This window comes from Homo sapiens, chromosome 3, assembly GCF_000001405.40.
Source record: "Homo sapiens chromosome 3, GRCh38.p14 Primary Assembly".
NCBI lineage: Eukaryota > Metazoa > Chordata > Mammalia > Primates > Hominidae > Homo > Homo sapiens.
Window position 1 is genome coordinate 113,100,164 of NC_000003.12, and position 19,675 is coordinate 113,119,838.

At 42.4% G+C, this 19,675-nt stretch overlaps 2 long non-coding RNA genes across 10 annotated transcripts in view; one reads left to right on the forward strand and one right to left on the reverse strand.

Annotated features, from left to right (window-relative positions):
• The window catches only part of LOLI1 (lncRNA oncogene in liver cancer 1), a 53,508-nt gene extending 49,251 nt beyond the window's left edge, over positions 1-4,257 (reverse strand). Inside the window, exon 1 of the long non-coding RNA NR_189285.1 lies at positions 4,154-4,257. This is a non-coding gene — a long non-coding RNA (lncRNA oncogene in liver cancer 1). The remainder of the gene's footprint in view (positions 1-4,153) is intronic.
• Positions 1-19,675, forward strand: part of NEPRO-AS1 (NEPRO antisense RNA 1) — a 164,860-nt gene that overhangs the window by 80,646 nt on the left and 64,539 nt on the right. For 2 of the 9 annotated variants that reach the window (NR_186656.1, NR_186657.1), the window contains 2 exons: positions 8,321-8,539; positions 9,939-12,892. The exons of 5 other annotated variants lie outside the window; for them this stretch is intronic. This is a non-coding gene — a long non-coding RNA (NEPRO antisense RNA 1). Of the gene's footprint in view, positions 1-8,320; positions 8,540-9,938; positions 12,893-19,675 lie in introns of those variants that run through there. 2 more of the 9 variants (NR_186655.1, NR_186658.1) reach the window with 1 other exon arrangement.

The following is a 19,675-nucleotide window of genomic DNA, read 5'->3' on the forward strand; positions in this document are numbered from 1 at the left end:
TTTGATCTTCTATCCAAACAACTCAAACTTTCTGTATATGAGCAATAAGGCTGTTTTACTCTCTTATCATTCATGTATTCACTGGAGTTGCACTTTTAATTTCCTTCAATAACTTTCCTTTTTATTCACAACTGGCTAACTGATACAGGCAGCCTAGCATTTGGCCTATCTCAGCCTTCGGCATGGCTTCCTCTCCAACCTTAATCGTTTCTAGCTTTTGATTGAATGTGAAAGATGTGAAACTCTTTCTTTGAGTTTAATACTTAGAGGCCATTGTAGGGTTATTAATTGGCCTAATTTCAGTATTATTGTGTCTCAGGGAATAGGGAAGCCTGAGGAGAGGGAGAAAGAGAGAGAGAGGAATGGTTGCTCAGTGGAGCGGTCAGAACATGCACACACTGGTCAGTTAAGTTTGCTGTTGTATGTGGATTTTGTTTGTGGCATTCCAAAACAATCACAATAGTAGCATAGAAGATCACTGATCACAGATTACCATAATAGATGTAATATAACAAAAAAATTTGAAATATGATAATTATCCAAATATGACAGAGATGTGAAATGAGCACATGATGTTAGAAAAATGGTGCCAATAGATTTGCTCAATTCAGGGCTAACACAAACCTTCAATTTGTAACAAATGCCGTGTCTGTGAAGAATAGTAAGTGAAATGCAACAAAATGAGATAGCTTATATTAGCAAGCTGTTTTCACATCTTCAGAAATTTCTGCTCTCTCATTAAGAATGGTAAAATAAATTGGCATTTATATAGGATCTTTCCAACAAACAGCTCAAAAGTCAATAATGACAAAAGGGTCCTTTCTTTTCTTAAATTAGTAGACTTTATCTTTAGAGCAGTTTTAGGTTTACAGAAAAATTGAACAAAAAATACAGAGTTCCCACATAGCCCCACCTCCTCCCCATTTCCTCATCTCCTTCCCCACAGATTCCCCTATTTTTAACATATTGTATTAGTGTGATATGTGTCTTATAATAGATGAGCAATATTGATACATTATTATTAACTACAGTCTATAGTTTACATTAAGGTTTACTCTCTCTCTGTTATACATTCTATGGATTTTGACAAACATATAATAGAATACATCCACCATTACAGTAACAAACAGAATAGGTTCACTGCTCTAAACATCGCCTGTGCTCCACCAATTTATCCCTTCCATCCTCCCTCCCTCCACCTGACTATCTGGCAATCACTGATCTTTTTATTGTCTTCATAATTTTGCCTTTTCCAGAATGTCATATGGTTGGGACATACAGTTATACAATATGTAGCATCTTCAGATTGGCTTCTCTCACTTAGAAATATGCATTTAAGCCTCCTCCATGTCTTTTTGTGGCTTGATAGCTCATTTCTTTTTGCTGCTGTATAATATTCTATTGTATGGATGAATCACAATTTGTTTGTCCATTGGCCTACTGAAGGACATCTTGGTTGCTTCCAAGTTTTGGCAGCATTTAAGCTCCAGGTTTTTCTCATTTTGAAGTTAAGCAACAGAAAAGCAAGCTCCCCAGAATTCTATGCCCCCATATTTTCCCAGCTGTTTCATTGACTGGCTTGCTCCATGGCTCTGGTAACTATTTCCTTACAACTGTTCTTGGTTCCCTCCAAGCTTAATATGGCAGAGATTAAAGTCATGGTTATTTCCAAATTGCTGGATAGCTGATCCCAGACCAGGGCAAGATGAGCAACTCTAAGACACCACCATTGCAGAGGAGAGATAGTCTCAGCTGACCCAGAGGGGCCAATCCCACTAGGACCTCTGGCCCATAGAACGTGGACTTCCATCCTAGAAGCCATTTGGAGATACAATTTTCAGCCACATGCTGCAGACAGCTTTCATCTTCTGAAGCCCACCCCTGGTGTCTTAGCCAGTTTGAGTTGCTCTAACAGAACACCACAGACCGGGTGGCTCACACAACAAACATTTATTTCTCACAATTATAGAGGCTGGAAAGTCCAATATCAAGGCAGTAGGCAATTTGGTGTCTGGTGAGGGCATGCTTTCAGATTTGCAAATGGCCATCTTCTGGTTGTATCCTCACAAGGCCAAAAGAGATTATTTCTCTCATATTTCTTCTCATTAGGTATTAATGCTATCATGAGTGCTCTACCCTCATGTCCTAATTTCCTCCCAAAGACCCTACCCCCTAATGTAATCACATTGAGAGTTAGGATTTCACCATATGAATGGAGCAGGGAACCACAAACTTTTAATCCATAACACCCAGCTAGATACTAGGTAACTACAGTATCTACCTACCAGCTAGATAGATACCGTAGTTATACCCACCCTTCATACCTTTCCACCTGTGTCTTTTTAAACCCCTATTTCAGGGAAATAGTCATCATATTCTTTCCAGTTAAAAAGAGAGGGTCTTAGTAAATAGAACCATTTATTTTAGACTTCTTCTATTGGTTCCTTCTCCATGTTAATCTGCTGTTCTCTTGACTTCTACATACGCTTACAATGCACCTTGGTTTTTTGTTACTTCTCTTTTCAATGAATGTGAGGTCTTCCACCAGCAAAATTGCAGAGGTGGTCTGTCTCCTCAGGCTCCACTCTCTGTGACTTCCTTTCTACCCACCCTATGGTGCTTCTGTACTCACCTCAGTACCAGGACTCAGTACCTCAGGACTCAGTACCTCAGAACCTGGATCCTCTCACGACCTGCTCTCAGGCTTTCTTGTCACCTCAATGATCCCAAACGGTTTTCAGTAAACAACTGAAAAGAGTTTAGGCATTTTCCTGACCTTATTGCATTCCAACAAGGAATTGCCAGGATAAGCCGGAAGTAGACTAGAATGTGTGAAACTGCAAGATGCCTGACCGCCCCTCAAGGCGGCGGCAGTTTGGCTGTCCTGAGACGGTGAAAAGGAAAAGCCTTCTCTGCTGGTTAGCCCCTCACTTAGAGCTGCCTCAACATCTATTGGAAATTTTCACATCGCATAATTCATCTGTTAACATTCCCTGAAGAGGGTCCAATTTTCAGTGTTCTTGAGGCACTTCTCTGGGAGTTCACCCTTCATAGGGATCTGTTCTTGCAAGAGCTCCTCACTGGGGGAGGGACTATCATGCCCCCATCAATAAAGTGGACCTCTTCTGACCCGGCCCAAGCAATCACTCCCTAGTTTGTTGAACTTTCAGTAAAATATGGCAACAGCACTTAATATGGGATTACCCACAAACCTGTACATTAAGGCTTTAGAGGAAAGGAGACAATGCTGTACCTGTCAAAGATAGAAAAGGGATTGGGAAGGATGCAGGCATTGAAAGACAGCAATGAAGCAGGAAAAGAAATAGCACAAAGTAGGGATAAAATCTTGGCAGTCCTGAGGTAGAAGGTAGCCGAGAAAAGGTGAGAAGCAATGAGGACGAATTGAGTGAGATGGTTTAATTATGATGTGTTTTATGTACCAAGATCTCTGAGGATACAGAGGTAAAGAAGACAGTTTGTTCTCAAGATGTGGTGTGGCAATGAAAACAGTTCTCCATTTGTCACTCAAATAGCCACAGTGGGTTTGAGTTGGGAGAAAACCACTGATCATCCTAACACCAGAAAACTCTTGAGTCAGCACTGCCTTGTTTCATAAGCAGAATAAGCAAGGAAGTAGGTTCTAATTCTAATGTTTGCAAAGTACCTTCCTTGTTTGCTGAGCCACACTTCAAAGGGATTTATGTACATTACCTCGGATTAATCAGTTATCTTAAATTGTCAGTGAAAGCAAGGAAGGTTAAGTGACTTGTACAAGGACACGCAGTTAGTAATTTTTAGAGCCTGGGTCCAACTAGTTCCAAAGTCCCTTTGCATGGCCACTAGTTGGTTTGAATTCAACTTCTCTGCTCCCCTACTTAAGACCCTTTTCCTACTAAGAAAATGAAATTTTACAATTAGATATTTATTCCTTTATCTAAGCACTTTATTCTTTGGTAAATTTCTGTTAAGAGGAATAAGCCATTTTAAAAAGTTTACCATTAATGTATTCCTTGCTGAGAACAAATTTATGAAATGATTTCCTGCAAGAAAATTTTGATTTGTGTGCATGTAGAGTGGGGAGCAGTCAGAAAAAGGATGAAATGAAAGACCAGCACAGAAGAGGGAGGCAAAAGTAGAAGACATCTTTGCTTACATCTCACATTTTTGAGGGCACAAGTGCTGCTGGGGAGAAGGCTTGCCCATCCTCACTTCTCACTCTGTCCAGGGACCTTGTTACACCTCAGAGTTTCAGCGAGTGGGAGGAAACTGGAGAGGAGAATACTGGCAATGGAGAGATGGGGGCGGGAAGGGGGGTGGTGCAGGGAGGGTGGAGACAAAGGGGGAAGTAACTTTTTTAATAAAAAATGATAAGTGATGAATGGAATGGCTAATCCTGGGGAGCCCTGAGAATGCTGGACCGCCAAGCGAGGGTGTCTCTTTTTCACTTTCCTTTTTCTTTTCTTTTTAATTTTCTTTTATTTAATTTCGCTGCAGCACGTATAATCAATTACAGACTGAATTGGGATAAAGGGAGGGGAAGCACTTTAATTCATAAATCAATTTTATACGGTCATCAGTCAGGTTGTGAATGCAAATACCTCTGTCGGTTTAGGTTATTCAGAATTAATTGACTCCCACCGGGCTGGGCTACAGATGGAGAGGGGCTTTCTCACAAAGTCTGCTAGGGCCCGGCATGGGGGCCAACCACTTCCTCCCTCCCCGCTCTGGCCCTCTGGCCAGCCCCCTCTTCTCCTTTAACCTCTGGGCCCCAAACATGGAGATGATGGGGGTGGGCATCCAGCAAGAAGCTGGGTGGATAAGAGCCCAGAAAGGCTGTTTGAAGAAGGAAGGGGATTCACAGAATGATGAAAGCCCCCAAACAAACCCTCTTCAGCCCAGGCCCTGCAGAGACACCTTTATGTGATTAGAAATGCTTAACTTTCAAGGATCTGCTTTTAAGTTCTCTTGAGCTTCTTAAATAAGAAAGAAAAAAGAAAACAAGCAGAAAAGCCAGAGCCCCTGGGCTGAAGCTGAAGGGATATCATTCAAAAACCACTGGGTTGCAGGGTTTGTGTGGCTGCCAGATTTTAGCAGCCAGAGAGCAGCCCAGGACAGAGGCTTAAATGCCAGCAGGCCCAGTGAAAGTGAGTGTGAAGGCCCTGCCCAAGGCACCAGAGAGAACAGCCCTGGGCTGTAGGCCCGCAGCAGAGGATGGAGAGAGAGAATGAATTACGGTGTAGAACGGGCTGACCGAGGCTCCCTAGTTGGGCTGCACCTGTTTCCTAACTTAGGGTCTTCTATCTACAGGAGTTCATTCTAATTTGGAAAAGACACGCACCCATCCACCCACACATTCAACATATTTTGACCTCGACTTTTCCACTTTTTACCCTCAGCTAAATATACTTCTCATTGTGTTGCTCCAAATCAGACTGCCTTACTGGTTTTCAGCACTGTCCTCCTACATGGGAATCACCCAGGAGGTTTGTTTGTTTTGTTTTTCTGTTTGTTTTTTTCATGCTGTTGTCCAGGTCCACCCCTAAAATTCTGCTTTAATTGGTCATGAGTAGAGCCCAGGGAATTGGTGCTTTTTAATAGGGTTACAGATGAATCCAAAGGGCAGCAAGGGTTGGAACGACTAAAGTGTCTGAAGACTAAGGTGGGCAACTCTAAAACCCCATGCTTCCCTCCCCAGTCCCCAGTCCCTTCCCACAGCCTGGCAGTGTTTCTGAAAGTGTGCCCCATTGGAATTACATTAGAAAAAGTAAAACAAGCACATTGGTAAGAAAAACAGGAACAAAATAAAATTTGGGAATATATATGTTGTAGATTCCCTGGCCCCCTCCAGATACACTGTAGTAAAATCTCGAAACATTTAGAATTTACACAAACTCCCAGTAAGTTTGGGAACCCCTGCTGAGGCAAAGCACCAAGACGTTTGCACTGTCTTTATTTAACATCAAATCCTAGCCCGCATGGTATGCATCACATTTTGCCTTGACACATGGCAGTTGCATGTTTGTGGGTTTTGTCAGAAGAGCTCTCCTGAGAGACCAAAACCTGAATCTAGGAGCAAAATGAAAACAATCTATTTGATGAGATGATCTCAAAGGCTTCATGTTCCAAAGCATGAGTTCTTATCCATATTGAGACTTTTAAAAATCAGATGTAAAATTCTTCTGCATTTTTAATTTAACCAGCAGTTAAATAATCTTTAATACAGTTGCTTATATGTAAATGAGCCATATTCATTTGTTTTAAAAGGCTAAGAGGAATTCTTGGAAATGCTTCATTAGTCATTCGTTTGTACTACCATATGCTACTGAAAGCAATAAAACTGCTTTTCTTTAAAATTTTAAGAAATTCAGGCTTTTTTCCCCAGTCAGACTAGACTTCCTCTCCAAAAAGTTTGAAGGTCTTAATGGAGATTAAATGTGTGTTTTCTCTTGCTGTACTTAGCCAGCAGCAAAGAGAAATTTGGGCAGAGGGTGGTCCAGAATGAAAGGGCATCTTGTTCTCAAAGCCCTGGGTTTCTAAGGTAGATAATCTGAGAAGTCCATGGAGGGAATGATCCTTAGACCATTCAGGCCGTATGGCAGAGTGAATACACAAGCTTCAGCATCAGTACTGCTCAGCTTCATGACATATATTGGACAAGATATAGCACCTCTCTGTGCTTCAGTTCCTTCCTCTTTAAAATGGCAATATTAACAGTGGGTACCTCATGGGGTTATCGTGAAGAGTAAATGACATAAAGCATCTAAAAACCTAAGCAGAAAGCAAGCCCAATAACTGACAGCATTTGCCCTGAGAGAGACCATGGACGAGTGGTGATCAGTGGGCCTATTGGTCTGATTTGGTCCCTCCAGTAGCATCAGCATCACCTGGGACTCTATTAGAAATGCAGAATCTTGGGCCCCAGAATGACTGAACAAAAACTCTGAGGTAAGACCTAGCAGTCTGTGTTTTAGGAAGCCTTGCAGGTGATTCTGAACCACACTACAGTTAGAGAACTACCGGGGTAGGCTAAGAGCTGGAGGCTGGAGCCTTGGAGAGCAATTAAGAATCTCCTTAGAGTCAAGTGGTTTGTGGTAAAGAAAGAGGGTGGATTTAGCTCTCTATATAGGAAACTAAGACAAAAATGTCTTACACAATTATGAGTCTGGGGTTGGAAGAAAGGAAATTTGGTGGGACTGCAGCCTGAAGTATCCATCCAAAGGATAGAAATCTCACCAGTAACCACGTGCCTTGTACAATAGCACTGTTTGCAAACCCTTGCCACAGACAGCATCTTGTAAACCTCGAGACCTCAGGAAACCTTCGTACCCCCCATACCTCTAGCCCCTCTTGAGATTCCAAGGCCCAGGGGTGCCTCCAGCCTCATTTATCCCTGGGACTTCAGCAAACTACACTACCCAACTATGTCACCAGATGAGAGCAGAAAAGTCTGAACCTCCTTCCCTAGACTTGTGCAGAGAGGGAGAGCCTGCCAGAAAAAGGGACACAGAAGAGCCATCTCAGCCATATTGCTTTGAGATGTCAGTAGGATATATGTGTATCCCCTTCCTTCTCCCACAGTAAGGAGTCTCACAGAGCCAGAAGGTGGAGATGGGGGGAAGGCAGTCTGAAGGGGTGGATACTAAAGAATTTGGAAGTCATCTGCAGAGAGACAATTTTTTGAAGATATCCAAAAAAGAGAAAAGATAGTGAAGTTTGGGGGCTTCAGAGAGAAACTTCATATTCAGATTTACAAGTGGCTAAAAGAGGCACAGGTGGGAGCTGAAGGAGGTGGCAGGTAGGTGCTGGTTTAAGGGATCTACTTCCATTTATAGAAAATAAAAAAGTATTATCTTTTCCTCATCCAATGTAAGTTTCATGGCTGACGCCTCTATAACAAAAGACGGATTTTAGAGAAAAGACAGAAATACAGAAAAGCATAACAAATTTATTTAGCCAAAGCTTTACATGACGGGAAACTTCAGAAATGAAGACCCAAAAATTCAGGGAAAACTTTATTTTTATGCTAGAACTTGATAAGGAATGAACAGTCTTGCAGAAGTGTGATTGGACAAAAGGGGGTATGATCTAATGGTACAAAGCTGGGAGAACTTAGGCCTGTTTTTTCAGATTCTTCTTGACATCTCTGTATCTCCATTCCTTTCTGCCAAGTATATGGCAGGACATTTGCCATATGAGGGTCTTATGACCTACTTTCAGGAGAGTTGGTAAGAGAATTGTTTTATGGCTGGCCCTCTCTTCTTAGAAAGGCAGAAGATCAGAGAATTAACTTCTTACCTCTGTGATTTTCTCCATTTCCAAGGTGCCGCGTTTTGGAGTAGTGTGTCCTGTACCTGTCACCTTTAACAAACAATTATTGAGCACCTACTGGGTGCCAGATACTCCACCAGGCTCTGAGAGGACAGAAATGCATAAGACACAATTCCTGCTCTCAAGGAGGCCTTTCAAAAAGAAGAGAGTAGAAAAAATTCACACATTTCCCCCATTCCAAAATGACATCTGAAGAAAGGAAAAGAAAAAGGTAACTCCCACTGTGTCTGTAAACATTTGATTCAAATTTGAGATTTGGGGTTCAGCAATCAGCTGAACCTCTCCCTCTCCTTTACGTGCACGTGCAAACACACACACACACACACACACACACACACACACACATTCTGTAGCATGTGTGTCCTCATCCAGCTGACTAGCGAAGGATAGGCCTAGTTGTTGCTGGCCCTGCCTGTGCTACAATTTTGATCAGACAGGTATTAGAAGTTAATTTCAGAAAAAAATCATAGCAGTTTCTGGCACATAAGCCAACTTCAACCTAACCTTTCGATGAGGTAAGGGTAAAGGAATCTGATAAACACATTTAATTTCCTGTGAAATGAACAGGGGTTTAGAAACTAAGAGGGAAGTGGGATTTAGACAAATACATTTTGGGTTTTATCTCACAGGACACATAAAACCCTTTTGTTCCATTTGTCATAGTTCCAGGCCCACCGGATCTCTCCTACCCTTGACATGCACCTCCATTACCTATCTAAGCCTCAACTTCCCAGGGTCTCCCTCTGAACTTTCCCCTTCCTAGGGGAAAGAAGGCAAAGCAACATTGTTGTGATGTGATGTCCAGGACTGGGGTCACATGGCCCCCTCCAGATCTGTCCCAGTGGTCACTTTCCCAGGTTCCTGTCTGACTTTCACATTTTGTCTAAATGTGATACAATTATTTCTGGGGCAGAAAGGAGACTCTAAAAGGGGCCCTTTGGTTACTCTCCATGCACCGCCCCCCCAGGGTCCTGAGACCTGTTCACTTGATCCCAGAAGGAAGAAACGAGCTCTTATTCCCTCTCAGACCTCTGCTGATACTTGTTTTTCAGCTAAGTTCAAGACAGCCAAATGAATTTTTCAGAGAGACCACAGCTGGCTTGTCAGGACCCAGGTAACAAGATGAAAATAATTGAGAGAGGAAAAATCCCAGAGCCCCTCAGGTGTCATTTTCACAAAGTTTTCTTCTGGGTATCCTTATGCGTTCCGAGTTATTCATTGGTTCTCTTCTGTTGTCCTCACTGGCAATTTTCCTCTGCCTCTTCTTCTTTCTCTACAGTTTTCCAAAAAGCATAAGCTATGTGTCCCTGATCCTGAGCAAAGTTGATGTGAAACCTTGTTTTTTTTTGTTTTTTGGTTTTTTTTTAGAACATTTCATAGACAAAACAACCCCGCTGCAGCTGGAGGCTGCTGGGATTTCTGTGCCTTGTTTTAATGCATGGGACCTTTCATGAAATCTGGGGCAGTTAATGGAGGTGGGGTGGAAAAGAGAAGAGGAGGAGGGGGAAGAGAGGCATGAACTTTTACACCCAAAGTGGGACTTCAGAAGAATTTACAGTCGTCTTCTGTGGAGACAGTTAAGATTTTTTTTTTTTTTTTTTTTTTTTTAGACGCAGCCTCATCCTGTCACCTGGGCTGGAGTGCAATGGCGTGATCTCGGCTCACTGCAACCTTCATCTCCCGTGTTCAAACGATTCTCCTGCCTCAGCCTCCCAAGTAGCTGGAATTACAAGCACCTGCCACCATGCCCAGCTAATTTTTGTATTTTTAGGAGAGATGGGGTTTCACCATGTTGGCCAGGCTGGTCTCAAACTCCTGACCTGGTGATCTGCCCACCTTGGCCTCCCAAAGTTCTGGGATTACAGGCGTGAGCCACTGTGCCCGGCCGAGACTGTTAAGATTTTATTGCCCTAGTACCAGCAGTTATGATGTTCTATAGAACTTATAGCTGAGCCCATGCCAGGGATTCCCCAGCTCACTGAAGCTGGAAGGAAGCCAACTGGACTGCCGAGTTCACTTTAGGAAGAGAGAGGGAGTTAACTTAAAGTAGGAGGTGGGTTGGAGGAAGGATAGAAGCCCAGAAAGTAAGTAAGGCATTGTAAAGTCACACCTTAGGCTCTGCAGTCAGACAGAGCTGGCTGTGGGTGACTTTCCGATATTTACTAGCTTAGGATATTAAGCAAGTGCTTTAATCACGCCAAGACTCAGTTTTCCCATCTGTGAACTGGAGGTCATAATAGTACTTGCCTTGTTGGATTGTTGTGAGGATTCGATGAGATAAAGTCTGAAAAGAATTTAGCACAGTGTCTGGTTCACAGTAAAAGTTAAATCAATATTATTTTCTATTATCATAATTATAAATAATGGCATGAGCAAAGGAGAGGCTGCGAGTAGAGTTCGCACTTTCCCTCCCTAAGTGTCAGTGCGTCTGGAGAGAAGACAAACATTCTTACGTATAAACAGTCCCTTCCGTGTGACTCTCTCATCCAAGCCTGCTGCATACCTTGGGTGTGAGGGCAAAGAGTAGTAAAAAGGAAGAAAAATGGAAGAAGAAAGAAGAGACCACAAAAGCAGAAGAGATTCACCGGGGGTGAGGGGCACCAGGGCAGCAGGGTGGGGGCAGGAATGATTGGAAAAAGACATGCAAAAGACAACCACGTGAAAGAAATGAATATGGATATGGAAATTGTCAAAAATGGAAAGAAGTTTTGCAGCTGGATGTGGACAGAGCAGGAAATGTGGAGGAGAGGTGTAGGAGTCTAAAAATGTACAGGGTTTAGTTTGCCGGCCAACACCTCCTCTGGGGAGGTAACAACTCCTGAAAGCCATGAACTTTTAAAAAGGAACCTAAACAGCACAGCAAACCTTCCTGAAGAACATATAACCTCACTGTGTACTTTTTGTCAGCCTCAATTCCTTCCCCACAACTCTCACTGAGCCATTGATCAGTGACTCACCCTTATCTCCCACGATCTCACACTCCGCTGTAACCCTAAAGAAAACTCTGCTCCTTAAGGTAATCCTTGACACTGTGCTGTGCAGGCCTCTGCTGCAAAGGGTAGGGGCAAAATTACACCATGCCTGGAGCTTAGTAAGTGCTCCAGGCATGGGGTAATTCAACAAACAATGTTGGTTGAATGAACAGAGGGATGAATGGTGTGGTATACTTGAGGCAAGCCTACATGCAAGTCAACAAGACTGCTCATTGGATCACTTGAGCCCAGGAGTTTGAAATCAGCCTGGGCAATATAGTAAGACCTTGTCTCTACAAAAAAAAAAAAAAAAAAAAAAAAAAATTAGCCGGGTGTGGTGGCACATGCCTGTAGTCCCAGCTACTTGGGAGGCAGAGGTGGGAGGATCCCTTGAGCCCAGTAGTTCGAGGCTGCAGTAAGCTATGATAGTGCCACTGCCCTCCAGCCTGGGAGACAGTGAGACTGTCTCAAAAAAGAAAGACTGCTCATGGGGACAGGATTTCTTTCTGGGGGAAAGAAATGTCCTGGAATTAGATAGTGGTGATGGTTGTACAATTTTCTGAATGTATTAAAACCCACTAAACTGTACAATTTAAAACGGTAAAACAGTATGTGAATTGTATCCCAATAACTTTAAAAAGCACAAACTATAGCCAGGGAGAAGCAAACAGTCATGACTAGTACCTCTCTTCCAATTGCACTCTTTTTTTTTTGCTTTGTTTTCCCCCCGTAAGTTATTGGAGTACAGGTGGTATCTGTTTAAGTGAGTAAGTTCTTTAGTGGCAATTTGTGAGATTTTGGTGCACCCATCACCCAAGTGCACTCTTGACACCGGGTTCTCTTCTCATCCTTTTGCTTCTTCTCAGGACATAGTGATTATCTTTAAAAGCCTTTCTCATGTGGTTTTTGTTTGTTTGTTTTTGGATTTTCAAGTGTTCTGGAAATCTCAGTGGGACCAACGATGGTTAGATCTCGTAGTAATAAAGTGACTATGTAAGAGAAGCTCAGTTCTTTCTTGAACATTTCTCTAGGACCTGTGCTAACTTTTCAAGCTTGAACAGTCCTCAAGATAAAGATTCACTTTCATAGCGAGCGTCTTTCACATGGCCCCAGCCACCTGAGGCTCGGCATCAAAGAAATTTTTTAGGAAATCTATTGCCTAACTATCATGTCTCTTAGCCTTATAGTGCCCTTATGGAACACCTTATCTTCCCTGATAGTCAAGAGCATTTAAATGAACAGAAACGGTTTCCCAGATGGGATGGAGAGGAAGAACACAGTGTAGCAATAGATTCTCCCGGGATTTTTTTGTTTTTGTTTTTGGTTTTGGCTTATTGTTGTTGTTGTGTGTGTGTGTTTGAGTCAGTGTCTTGTTCTGTCACCCAGGTTGGAGTGCAGTGACATGATTTTAGCCCTCTGTAACCTTGAACTCCTGGGCTCAAGTGATCCTTCCACCTCAGCCTCCTGAGTAGCGGTATCATTGCGGCCAGCTCTCCTTTTCCTTTAACTTTCCTGTTTAGTCACAACCTGCCTTCTTATACATACCTATAAACACATGGACATCAATATTAAAAAATGTTGTTTTCTATGGACTTAAGTTTGGTGAGATTGTGTGGTTAACAGAGCAATTCGCTAAGGATTTTGTGTGGAGCTTACTTCACTTGCCTGCTTAACACTGGCAAAAGAAACTCCTGAATCTTTTAACATCGTTTAATACGTCAGTAACAGACCGTTTAGACAAATAGGATTTTAAATTTGGGGGCTGGAATCTGCTATATTCCTGTACAATAAAAAGGAAATGAGTCCATACATGTCTGCAAACTAAGGTTTGGGGCAAATTCTGAGTCTCCAAGAAAAATTGGGAAAAGCAGGCTATTCATATTCATATTCCTTCTTCAGCATTCTATACATGCAGAATAAAACTGTGAAAAAGTGGAATGCTACCTATTCAAACTTAATTTTGGGCCTAAAAAGAAGTTTAAATATTCACTCATTCAGGGACTTTATTTGAACTGAGAAACAGAAAGTTCATTTATTGCCTCAGGAGCTTCTGAAAAATCCCATCCAGTCATTCATTCTGTGTAACTTGTTACAACCCACTGAGAATCTCAGTTACTGAACTACAAAGTGAGTTTTTATCTCTAAGGCCTACTATTCCTATATTTTTGCCATGATGTCATCATCAGCCAACCAGGGCCTCAAAAGCTCATAAGTTAGCAGTGCTATCAACTGAATTGCTTGGCAGCATCATGAGGTGGGGAATTTGTTTAAAAGCCCCTTTAGGCTTTGAAAATTATTGAAGAAAAGCTTTTAGAACCTTTTTTTTTTTTTTTTTTTTTTTTGCCTTTGAGGATCCCCTACCTGTTCAAGGACACCAGGTTGGGAAACACTGACCATGTAATCTGTGAGGCCCTTCCCAGCTTTAAGAGTCTCTGAGTCTGGAAAAAGGAGGCAAATGAGTAAATCATGAGTTACCTGGATATGCCCCTTCTTCCAGAAGGCCCTGCCGATTCTCCCTGAAAAGTAGAGTTGCTCCCCGGCGGGATTGCCCCCTCAGAACCAGCTATGACTGTCCTCATTGGGGAAAACAATGCAAAACCTTCAAAACTAAAACAAATAGTCATTATTTGGATTTAAATCCTAGTTGTTTAATTTCCCCGAATGTCTTTAGTCTGGAAATTTAAGGAAAACAACTTTTCCTTAGTTACGTCCAATGACACTTTGTAAATATAGGAGATGAACAGAAACATCCTTTTTTACTGTGCCCCAGATAATTAATGATAAAACTCTTGAGCTCAGAGAGACCCTAGAGAGTCCTTACCCAGTGGGAAACAGCCATTCTGCTGAAATGTAAGAGCAAAGCAAAGGAAAGGAGACAAAGAAGACTTCTAGAAACCTGGAGATTCTAGGGCTTCTTTCCCAATCCCTGTTCCCTTGTAAAGGGGCCGAGGCCTAGACTCCATACGCATCCTCTCTCTCTTATACCTCTTAATGACATGTATTTCTAGATACTGTGGGTTTCTAGACACTGTGGGCGGCAACCTTTTGTTTTTTAAATCTCCCTTGGTGCAGAGAATCCAGAATAGTGTTCTTTGCTGGGAAAAAAATGACATCAATGTCAGTAGCCTTTCTCATGGTGGCCACATGGTCACAGGGCTGCCTCTGCAGGCAGAAAGCTTGCAATGTGACTAACTTTGTCCACTTTTATTAAAATGTTTACTTTGCCATTGTCTGACTTCTAAAGATCAAGATCTTTTTTTTTCCTCAAGCCTAGGGTTCATCACTCATTTTGGAAAGGGGAGAGTTCCTCGCTATATTCGTTAGAGGTCTAATGGAGTCCCTAAGAAGATTTTATACTTCTCTTTGGAATCAAAAAAGAGGACATTATTGAAAGCCATAATTTGTATACTTTTCACTGCACCCCATCAGTCCTCATTCTTCCTTCCCAGAGCACCTTATGCAGAGTAGTGCCCTTTTCTTGATGTTCCTTCAAGAAAGTGCTTCCTGTTTTCAGGAAGAATGTGTTCTTCTCTTCAGCAATGGATGAGCTTCTTCCAGGGAAGTTGACCCATTTCCTGATGGCCCCCAGCAGAGTCTTTGCTTGGATGTTATTTGCTTCTTGGATTGATTTTGCATTGCTCCTCCAGAGAAATTGGAAAACCATCCAAAAAACTTTTAGAAATGTAGTATTTCTAGAAATACTACAAAAATAGAAGTACTAGAAAAAAAAAACACCGGTATTTATTCATCATTATCATTGCCATCATCCTGTCTCTCATTGTGATGTTTAAAACCTTCTGTAAACAAATAATCAGAGGCTGAGCATGGTGGCTCATGCCTGTAATCCCAGGACTTTGGGAGGCCAAGGCAGAAGGATCACTTGAGCTCAGGAGTATGAGACCAGCGTTGGAAACATACTGAGACCTTGTCTCTACGAATAATTAAAAAAAAAAAAAACTTACCAGGCATGGTGACATGCACCTGTGGTCCCAGCTACTTGGGAGACTGAGGTGGAAGGATCACTTTAGCCTGGGCAATCAAGGCTGCAGTGAACAATGATCATGCCACCACACTCCAGCCTGGAAGACAGAGCAAGACCCCATCTCAAATACATACATATATACATACAAATGATCAAGCAGATTTCCGGTGTCAGAAAAGCAAAAGACTGCTATTGTTTTCCATATTTATTGACTCTTGAACATGAAGCAAACTTAAGTTTACCTGTATTTTAAGGAAGTAAACCATGTTGAGAACATTAAGGCTTTCTCTTTAACTCCTATGCTGGGCAGCACCTTCAAATACAAAGATGAAGAGTGGGAACAACTTGCAAACCCTCCTTCATGCTGTGGCTTATGCCTGGGTGATCTTGGCTAGTGCTCACCACAGACCCTCGGAGTGGGTGTTATTAACATTATATATGCCTTCTCACTTTTTCAACCCACAGTGGCTCCTAGTTAACCCTTGATTATCTTTGTTTCATGCTAAGCTCCTCCATTTGTTTGCTTAGTCGCTCTTATTCCCATACGCCATTCCCATTTCATCTCCACAACCCCTGTGCAAGGTATTTAAGGTGTATTTGAATGTGTTCTTGCAAAATATATTATTCTGTGCACATGTATTTCCATTTATATAAATGTATTTTAACACATTTTTTCACATTTAAATCTCTGAAGTCAGGATTCATCTTACAATAAATGGTATGCCACCATTTAATTGGCAGAGCTTTTTTTCTTTTTTATTGATAGTCCATTGAACAATAGGTGGTATTTAGATTTGATGAAATATGGTCTATATCACACCCTAACCTTACTTTTCTTCCCCCTGGAGTACCAGTTTAAGGCCATGCATGCTTCATGTACTCATCTCATCTGTCACTTCTCACTGCTGCTTAGCCCTCCAGGGTGGACTTTCTGTCCACTCCCAAAGCCCGCCAGGTTGGCCCTTACTCCTTGAAACCACAAACAACACTGCTTGTACTATCCCCTATGGAACACTGTAAGCATTTCACAGGGCTATAATATCTAGGATTGAAATCAGGGGGTCATATGATTTGTAAATATTAATTTGACTAAGTAGAGCCAGATTGCTCTCCAGAACGGCTGTGCTATCTATATTCCCACCAGTGGTACATGAGGGTCCTATGTGCCCACATCTCTGCCAGCAGTTGGCATTATCCAACATGTAAAATCCTCATTTTAAATGTGAGAAAAGAGATTGTGCTGGTGAACTCTATTCCCTTTTATCAAGAAGAACGTGATGTAGATGTATCTAGTGGTACCAGAGCCTGGACTACACCAAGGTACTTGATTGAGCCGGTAGCCAGATACATGAACTGTGGTTTCTTTCTTGCTTGCTTGCTTGCTTGCTTAGTTTCTTTTTTTTTCTTTTTTTTTTTTTTTTTTTTTTTTTTTTGAGATAGAGTCTTGCTGCTGTTGCCCAGGCTGGAGTGTAATGGCACGATCTCGGCTTACTGCAACCTCCATCTCCCGGGTTCAAGCGATTCTTCTGCCTCAGCCTCCCGAGTAGCTGTGATTACAGGCACCCGCCACTATGCCCAGCTAGTTTTTGTATTTCTAGTAAAGATGGGGTTTCACCATATTGGCCAGGCTGGTCTCAAACTCCTGACCTCGTGATCCGCCTGCCTCACCCTTCCAAAGTATTGGGATTACAGGCATAAGCCACTGAGCCCAGCCTGTGATTTCTAAATTTATGTTTCTTCCACCAACTAAGAATGTCCCTTGGCTTCTCTGGGCATCAGTGTTCTCATTCCTTAATTAGAGGGGTAGCATTTGATGACATCCAGGGCTCTTTTCCAAATCTCTAATTCTCCAGCTCTGAACTCTCTTTAGTCCATCAATAGCAGTTGTTTCTGACGGCATCTAAGTGCCTTTGTGGGCTTCAAGATGTTGGAAAGGAAGGGCTTTCTGGTTGTACCTTTCCATCTAAGCGACAAGAGAACCTAATGAATAATAAAGCACTCACATTTAACGTTTTCACCTTTCATATGAGCCTTCTCTCTCAATCTTCCCCACCCTCAACGGAGTCAAGGACCAGAAATAAAAGACAAAGTATTTAATGTACTTTTGCAAAGCTCAAGGGCCTAGATCTGGCCTTGTTCCAGTCTGAAAAGTGTTATTTCTGTTCTGGTGAGGGATGGATTGTATCATTTCACTAAAGGCAAAATCTAGGAAATAAAGGAAATGACATCACCCAAGCAGGGAGAAGCCAAATATCTATCCTTAGTCATTTCTTGAAAAGGGATGGAGAGCTGAGATATGACGTTGGTAAAGCTTTGAGGAATTTATGGCTAAAATGCTCCCTCTTCACTTATTTTTCTCTTCATTGGATGAGGATCTGCAGACTTTGCTGGCTTACAACCAGCAGTCTGAAAGGATCATTGGTGCATGTTTGTATATTCCAGCCTCATAGGGATTCACTTCTGACAGTTCCCTAAGAAAGAGGAGCCCTTCTTAGGCCTCACAGATGAGAGTTTGGCAATTGGTTTCCACCAGGAATCTCCAGATTCAACCTTATTAGCCCTTTCCCATGTCACCTTCTTGTCAGGTTTCCAAATCTCAGAGACCTGGAGAGGCTGTATTTCTGGCCAAGTGTCAACTTCCTCTCATCAAGAAGAAAATACATCACTTGCTACAGAGGGAAATTCCAGGGTGAGATGTCTTGGGTCCTAGTCTCTAGTCCACAGAGCTGGTGCATCTTCTCTCTCTCTCTCTCTCTCTTTCTCTCTCTCTCTCTCTCCTGATTCCTTAGAGTTCTTATAGTTCCATTCTGAATACCCAGTATACCTCTGTCTATCCTGGCATTTTAATGGGTAGGGTAGGAATTGCTATTGATAGGTACAACTACATGCTCATGTGCTGTTTGGTATCCTAATTTGGTGTCCACTCAGCTGGGTGTTTCGCTCTTGCTTTTCTGCATGAACTGTCCCAGTGGGCCCCTTTGTCAGCAGCAGGATTCAATCTTCTCCCCTTCAATAGCCAAGTTGGGAGATTTATTTTACTCTGCATGGCCTGGGTCTGCTTACTGGGAAGAGTTGCTTAGCCAGTTCACATCAGCCCTTCAGGGACCTGGATGGGAAATCCAGTATCAGCCCACATGGAATATTGCTTTGGCTGAGCTTCAGGGTAGTGGTTCAGAGTTCCAACATGCTTACCACTTTGTAGGGTCACTGCTAGGACACAAGGGGCCCTACATGGCTCAGCTGATAGGGCAGTCCTCTGGTCTGGGGCTCATTGCTTCTTTCTTAAACTTTAATAGCAGAAAACGCAGTGCACTGGGAAGCCCTATCTTACTGATCACACTAGCTGAGATAAATGAACATTATAATCAGCCTCACATCACTACAGCCCAGGTCTCCCTCTGCCCCAACTTTTTTTTTTTTTTTTTTTTTTTGAGACAGAGTCTTGCTCTGTCACCTAGGCTGGAGTGCAGCGTCGTGATCTCGGCTCACTGCAACCTCCACCTCCCAGGTTCAAGTGATTCTCCTGCCTCAGCCTCCCAAGTAGCTGGGATTACAGGCACCTGCCACTATGCCTGGCTAATTTTAGTATTTTTAGTAGAGACAGGGTTTCACCATGTTGTCCAGGCTGGTCTCGAACTCCTGACCTCAGGTGATCCACCCATCTGGGCCTCCCAAAGTGCTGGGATTATATGAGCCACTGCAACTGGCCAAGGCCAGGTTGTTGTTTTCTTTTTTTTTTTTTTTTTTTTTTTTTGAGATGGAGTTTCGCTCTTATTGCCCAGGCTGGAGTGCAATGGTGCAATATCAGCTCACCACAACCTCTGCCTCCCAGGCTCAAGCAATTATCCCGCTTCAGCCTCCCAAGTAGCTGGGATTACAGGCATGTGCCACCACACCTGGCTAATTTTGTGTTTTAATAGAGACGGAGTTTCTCCATGTTGGTCAGGCTGGTCTCGAACTCCCGACATCAGGTGATCCGCCCACCTCAGGCTCTCAAAGTGCTGGGATTACAGGCGTGAGCCACTGCACCCAGCCAAGGCCAGGTTTTTTACCAAAAGAGTTTTTCAAGAAAATATTTTGTGATATTTAGAGCTCTTTTTTAGATTTAGAAATTGTAGATAAGAGACTATAGACTTAATTAATGAAAAAAGCATGCTAAGCCTTCGGCACAAGAAAGTTATAGCTTCAAATCCCATCAGTCTGATTTGAGGGCAGTTGCTTAACTGCTCTGAAGTTCAGTTTTCTCATTTGCAAAAAAAACAAAAACAAACAGACAAAACCAGGTTATTTTTACTACCTTGCAGTGTTCCTTAGAAAATGAAAAGAAACATTGTGTGCGTAGCACCTGACATCAGGTAAGTAAAAATAAAAAAGGTATTTATTATTTTTAGGA